Raw genomic sequence first — 7,151 nt, forward strand, 5'->3', positions numbered from 1 at the left:
CTTCTTAATTATTATTATAATCATCATTAAGTTGCTTCTTGGTCAATGATATCTCATAAAATTCCTTTTCCAATAATACAAGCATTCTTTTTCCACCTTTCCAATTTCTTCACTGTAATAAGTCTATTCAGATTTTTAAATTTCTTCTCGAGGCCAAAGTGAATGGTTTTAGTTTTGCTAGGAATATCATCCTTTCCAGAAGTTTGTAAATTTAAAGTTATAGAGTTACACATAATATTTTCTAATAATTATTTTCATTCTCCTTTTATATGGTTATATTTCTACTCTAGTTTCAGAATTCAGAGTGCTCACCATTACACTATGGAACCTCACTTCGACTCTAGTTTCTAAACTCATAAGTATGTTTTCCTCTTTTGTTTTTCTTGACAAAATTAATCAATGATTTTTATATTTTCAGGGAACCAGCTTTTGGATATTTTTTCATTTTGAAAAAATAATTAATTTTAAGATTCCTCTTGTTAATTTCTTCTTTTACTTTTTTTAAAATTTATTATTCTTTTTCTAATTTCTGATGGTGATTACTAAATCCCTTTAGTTTTCACCTGAATACTGTTCTCACTGTGGCCTGTTAGTTTTGATGTATATCCAGCGGATATCTATTGAGCACTTACTGTGTTCACTGACTTAGGACCACGTAAACACAAAATTGTTGTCACAGAGATGCCTATATTCTAATAAAGTTTGTGCGCTATTTTATCTTCTGTGTTCTCTTTTCATTGCTGTCTATACAGTTTGTTATCACCTTTATACTTTCTTTGATGCAAGCATTATCCAGGAGCATGTTTCCTAATACCTAAGTACTTAAAGTTTTCTTTAAACATTTGTTTTTCACTTAATTAACTTTTTTTCTGAGATTTTCTTATAGCAAGTCAAATCATCAATTTGGAAATACGCTATTTATTTTTTGGCTAGCTCAATCTCAATTTGAAAGAAGCCTATTGTAGAGTTTTATTTTAACAGTCTACATATCAAATTCCTATTTCATTTGGAATGTTTTTGCTTTTTGTAATTAGCTGCTTTATTTTTTTGTGCATACTGATTGCTTCTTCTTCAAAAATTCTTGTGTCTATTCTGATTTAATATCTCTTTGTATCCTATGTATTGCTTTTAATTTTAAATTTCACTTTGTTGGTATTCTATTCCCTCTACTTTTTTTGTTTACCTTTGCCTGGTAAACTTTTCTTTGCATAATCCTTTATTTTATTTTAATTTTATGTTTAATTTTTAAAAAATTTAATTAAATGTAATTTAAAGTTCCGGGATACACGTGCAGATGTGCAGGTTGGTTATATAGGGAAACGTGTGCCATGGTGGTTTGCTGCATCTATCAACCCATCACTTAGGTATTAAGCCCCAAGTGCATTAGCTATTTATCCTGATGCTGTCCCTTCCCCACCCCCTCACCCCATGCAGGCCCCAGTGTGTATTGTTCCCCTCCCTGTGTCCGTCCATGTGTTCTCATTGTTCAGCTCCCACTTATAAGTGAGAATACTCTAAACCTTTATTTTTAATCATTTTTGATAACTTTGTTTTATGTGTATTTCTTCAAAGCCACAAATGGCTTGTTTTTTTTCAACCCACTCTGATTAATGATAGCTTTAAGTTTGTTCACATTTAGTGTAATGACTAATTTACTTGGTTTATTCCTTCTATCTTTATGTTTGTGGTTAATTTTTTTCTAAAGTCCCATTTCTTTTTTGCTATTTTTGCTGGGCTGATCAAGTTGCAATTTATTCTATTTTCTCCTTGTTAATATGGAACTTCTACTTTATTTCTGCATTTTCACAATGATTACTTTTCCTTTCCTGGTCATAAACAGATTGCTAGCTATCATATAAAAATGAGATACAACTCTTTACCAAGTGATTATATATAGCTGTTCTAAGTGTCTCACAAACCCATTTGGATGAGACTTTTGCAATGCTTTTACTTCCCTCTCTTTCACCTCTTCCCCAGAGGAGATCCTTAGAATATTTTAATGTATTCACTCTCCCAACTTTAGCCTCTATCTTCTAGTTATTGTTGAGGTAGCTTAGTATTTTTATTTCAAATATATTTTATTTTATACCTATATAAAATATTTCCAGCCTTTCATTATTCCTGTAAGGGTAACTATGTTTATATGTTTGAATATTATAAGATTCATTACTCAGTGTCTATGTCTTTCATCTTCCCCACTCTTGGATGATGTTTCGGCCCTGGTTTACTTATTTTTACTTGCTTTAAAATTTTAAGTTGACATTTATTTTTTCTCATCACTTTGAAAATATCACTTCATTGATTTCTCGCCTCTTTGTTGTTAGTCTGAGTATTGTTTCTTAAAATATAATCTGTTTTTTATTCTTTGATAATTTTGAAGACTTTCTTTTTTATTGTATAGTTTTCATTAGATATGTCTAGGTGTTGATTTAATTTTGCTTTATTTTGCTTGGAACTCTATAATTTTTCTACGTGAAGATACATGACTTTAATCAATTTCAGAATTCTCACTGTTTATGGGTTTAATCTCTATTGCTCCCATAATATATTTATTTTTCTTTTATCTTTCTCTTTTTTATCTTGTTTTTTTATCCTTAGTTTTATCTTCAGTTTTTGTAATTTTTTAGCTGTGTTTAATCTTTCACCTAACATTTGCATTTTGTTTTTAATTTTAATGTCTACCTTTGTATTTGTCAAAGTTCTACTCAGTTCTTTTTTACATCTGTTTATTTATTTCATAAGCTTTGTACTGTTGTTAACATTTTTGTTTCTTGTTTTAGGTATTTAATCGCTGAAAAATACTCATATCTTTTCTAATTTTTAAAAAAATTTACATGAAGTTCATGTGTCTTTACTTCCACGATTTTTGCTGTATCTGCTCACTTTCACTCATGAATTGTTTTTCTACTGTGCTTTTAATTTTTGTGTGTGTGAACTTATTTTTAGTAGGGCTTAATTTTTTTTTTTTTTCCTGTGGAAACTCTTTGTAGCTTGAGTTGCAGGAATATTCTCCATGACTGGTTTTGCATTGTTTCTGTTATGTATTCCAAGGATATAACTGTTCTGGGATGATTTTTATGTTAATCTTTAGCTCAATGCAAAACCAGGAGTTTGATGTTTAGCAGAAATGTTTGTTTTTTCCTACTCAGAGTCCCAGCAGAGGTAGATGAGTTGTGCTGTATTTTCTCTTCTACAGTGAATGAATTTTTATATATCTATCCTTTTACTGAGTAGCCTAGACTTTATGTGGAATTCTCAGTTTTAATTTTTTACTTTGCAAGGGTCATAGCCCTTGCTGACTGCCTCAGGTGCACATTAAAACCCAGCCCCTAATTTATTGGACCGATATGAATCTATTACTATGAGAGAGAGAGCTGCTACAACAGCTCCTATCTTATGTCTCTGATTATCAGTTTGAACTTCATTTCTGTTATGTGAGGATTTTAATTTCCTAATTGTGAGCTCAATAATCCATTAAAAATCTTTTATATCTTTAAATTTGTATCCATGATTCTGGATGTTTTTAGCAGGATACAGTTATCTTAGTTACCACTGTGTTCAAAACAGACAATTTTATTCGTCAACTCAAGAGTTTATTGTGTTTAAGAGATGATTTTAGTCTCTTTGCATTATAGTTCATTCTATATATTTTTCTTTTACATCAATATTTATTATAATAAACTTCTTCTTCCAGTAACAGCAGACTAGCTTGTTATAGATCAAATCTCTCACTGAAAGCAGCTAAAAAGAAAGACTCATGTAGACAGCATGTATCTGATAGCATCAGAGAGCTATGAAGGGATTGAGGCTTGAGAGGCTAAGATTCTGGAGATTCTTAGCCTAATATTCTGAAGATTCTTGAGAGGCTAAGATTCTCAGAGAAGTGAGCATAATGTTAAATGTTACATTTTCTTTCCAAGTATTTTCAACTCTAAAGTGGCAGCAGAGAAGTTAAACTGATAAGAAATCAGTAGCCAAGAGGTTGAAAAGCAAGAGAGCTTGTGGCATTCCCACATAGCTGTGTAAAACAAATCAAAACAAAACTGGAGTTTAGGGCCCACAAAGAGATGAGGTGCTAATAACACACAAGGCTTTCCATTGTGAACCTAAAGAAATAAGGTGAACAAAAGAAGACCAAGCCTCAAAATGACTGAAGCCCAGCCTTGAAATAATTAATATCTTAATGAATTAATATAATCTACTCCTACTCAAATGTCTGCCAGAAGGAAAAGTAACACTCTCTGGTGGAAGATGACATCACTCAGGACTTAAATTTGTCTTCCTTTGACTATAGGCAATTTCTGTCAGTCAATAAAAAAAAAACCAAGCATGCACAAAGTAATACATACATATACTATATTTTTGGTTTTGTTATACATATGTGAATTATCTTATACGATGTATATGAGATATATGATATATACATTTAAATTTTTATCTTAAAACATAAGAATAGATTCACAGGAGATGTGAATATTGGAATTAATAGACACTGACTTTAAAATAGCAATTGTTAATATATTCCAGAAAATGGCAAGGGGAAAACATTCAAGAAATAATTGAATACTATGAAAAATTAATTGAAAAATCTAGAGCCAGTTTAAAAACACAATAATTATGAAATCAAGAGGTGGTCTTAACAGATTTAACTCACTTGAACAGAGAATTAGTATACTAGAAAATGAGTAAGAGGAAATATCTAGGCTAGATTACAGAGATAGGAAGAATATACAGCAATGTATATCTGTAATGGATATAATAAAATTATGTACCATATGTAAATTAGGAATTCAAGAAAGTGAGTGGAGAAGGAATTTGACAAAAGCAGTATTTGGAAATTTAATATCCAGGAATTTTTCAAAATTGACTATAGAGATAATGTTATAGATTTTCTCAAGAATTTTTGTGAGTTTTCAGCAGAATAAATGCAGAAAACATCATACCACTGTAGTAAAACTACTCAAAACCCCAAATAAAGGGAAACCTTAAAAGCATCCCAAGAAGATGAATACATTACCTTCACAGGAGCAACACTAAGGCTGACAGCTGATTTCTCAATAGAAATAAATGAGAGTGGGTTGAAATCTTCCAAGTGCTGAGAAAAAATCACTGTCAACCTATAATTCTATAATAAGTAAAAATTTCCTTCAAAAATGAAGGTAATATAAAATATTTTTGGGAAAAAAGGCAGAGAATCCATTATCAGCAGACATACATTAAAGGAAATACTAAGGGATGTTCTTTAGGCAGAAGAAAAATTATCCCAGTACATGCAAGAAGATATATGAGTAAATCTAAATCAATATTAACTATTTAAAACATTTAAAAATGAATCGTGACTATCTGAGAGACACACACACACACTTGCACACAGGTGGCATTGAAATACACAAGAATAGTACCAAAGCAGGTGAGGTGAATGTAAATGGAGTTAAAGTGTTCTATGGTCTTTTCATTGTCCAGCAAGCTAAAACTAATTTTTATGAAAATTTAGTAAGACAAGAAAGCATGTAATTTACATTTAGTGTAATTTTGATTCATTTGGGTTTTTATATATGATCTTTTTTACTTGTTTTCTAATTGACCCATTAGTTTTATGGTTTTTTTTTATACTTTAAATTTTAGGGTACATGTGCACAATGTGCAGGTTTGTTACATATGTATACGTGTGCCATGTTGGTGTGCTGCACCCATTAACTCGTCATTTAACATTCAGTATATCCCCTAATGCTATCCCTCCCCGCTCCCCCCACCCCACAACAGGCCCCGGTGTGTGATGTTCCCCTTTCTGTGTCCATGTGTTCTCATTATTCAATTCCCACCTGTGAGTGAGAACATGTGGTGTTTGGTTTTTTGTCCTTGTGATAGTTTGCTGACAATGATGGTTTCCAGCTTCATCCATGTCCCTACAAAGGACATGAACTCATCATTTTTTATGGCTGCATAGTATTCCATGGTGTATATGTGCCACATTTTCTTAATCCAGTCTATCATTGTTGGACATTTTGCCTCCTTTCTTGAATTTTTTTACATTAATCAAATATATTTTACTACTCCCTTATCCTCTCTGTTAACTTGTCAGTCATACAGTCCTTGCCCTTTTCTTTAGTTGTTAGCTTAAACCTTACTTCATGTATTCATGTCTTATTTTTAGCTTAATATAACTTGTTATTTCTATGATTTATTCACTCTTGTGTTCATTCTAATTTGGTCTTTATTTCTGAAATAACTTTTAGCATTTCTCTTAATTCTTCCCATATTATTTTATCTTTCTTTTTATATCTTCCCTGTTTCTTACCATCTTGTTTCTCAGTTTTTAAAATTCTAACTTTTGTTGTTCTTTTATAATTTTGATACTTCTCTCAATTTTTAAATTCTCATTTGGAAACATTAGATTATAGTTTTACTTATACTTTTAACCTTTTTTTTGGTGTGTATGTAGGAACATTATTTTGTGTAACAACTTCTCTTTACCTTGATTAAATAATTATACAACCTGGGCAACATAGCAAGACTCTGTCTCTTTAAAAAAATTTAAAAATTAGCTGGGTGCAGTGATGCACACCTATAGTTCCAGTGACTTGAGAGGCTGAGGGAAGAGGATCTCTTGAACCCAGGAATTCAAGGCTGCAGTGAGCTATGATCATGGCACTGCACTCCAACCTGGGCAAAGAGCAATAACCTGTTTCAGAAAAAAATTATATTGCCTAGTTTTTTTTTAAAAAAAGATATGAGTTTTGCCTACCTTTAGGAGTAAGAGGTATCCAACATTGCATTTATGTCTCAATTTTGTTAAAGTAGAGGCTGGCAAACTTTTAATGTAAAGGGCCAGATAGTAAATACTTGATGTTTTGTTGGCTACATAAAGCTTCTGCCTCCTTCTCTCCTTTCCCCTGTTTTTCTCCTGCCCCTCCCCATCTTTCCTTTCCTCTTCTTCCTCCACCTTCCATTCCTCCCCCTCTTCCTCCTTTATCTTCTTCCTCCTCCCCTCCTTTCCTTCCTCCTTTCTTTCTCTCCTCTTCTTCTTTCTCCTTCTCCTTCACTTCCTTTACCTTCATCATCTACTTCATCATCTTCCTCATCATTTTCCTTTTTTCCTCCTCTCCTTTCTCCCTTTCTTCCTTTTCCCTTTTCTCTTCCTCTTCCTCCTA

General features: G+C 32.0%; 2 annotated features.

Moving 5' to 3' along the window:
• Positions 4,002-4,171: an enhancer, noted in NCBI's record as "experimental_65484 CRE fragment used in MPRA reporter constructs". NCBI's record gives its function as "activates a minimal promoter by MPRAs in K562 erythroleukemia cells, with activity observed for both the introgressed and non-introgressed 3:154250890 or rs115812451 variant alleles {active_cell/tissue: K562}" and the evidence as "EXISTENCE:reporter gene assay evidence [ECO:0000049][PMID:34662402]".
• Position 4,087: a transcriptional cis regulatory region, noted in NCBI's record as "Neanderthal adaptively introgressed variant 3:154250890 (GRCh37/hg19 assembly coordinates) or rs115812451 in the experimental_65484 CRE". NCBI's record gives its function as "modulates activity of the experimental_65484 enhancer by MPRAs in K562 erythroleukemia cells {active_cell/tissue: K562}" and the evidence as "EXISTENCE:reporter gene assay evidence [ECO:0000049][PMID:34662402]".

Source organism: Homo sapiens, chromosome 3, assembly GCF_000001405.40.
Source record: "Homo sapiens chromosome 3, GRCh38.p14 Primary Assembly".
Classification (NCBI taxonomy): domain Eukaryota; kingdom Metazoa; phylum Chordata; class Mammalia; order Primates; family Hominidae; genus Homo; species Homo sapiens.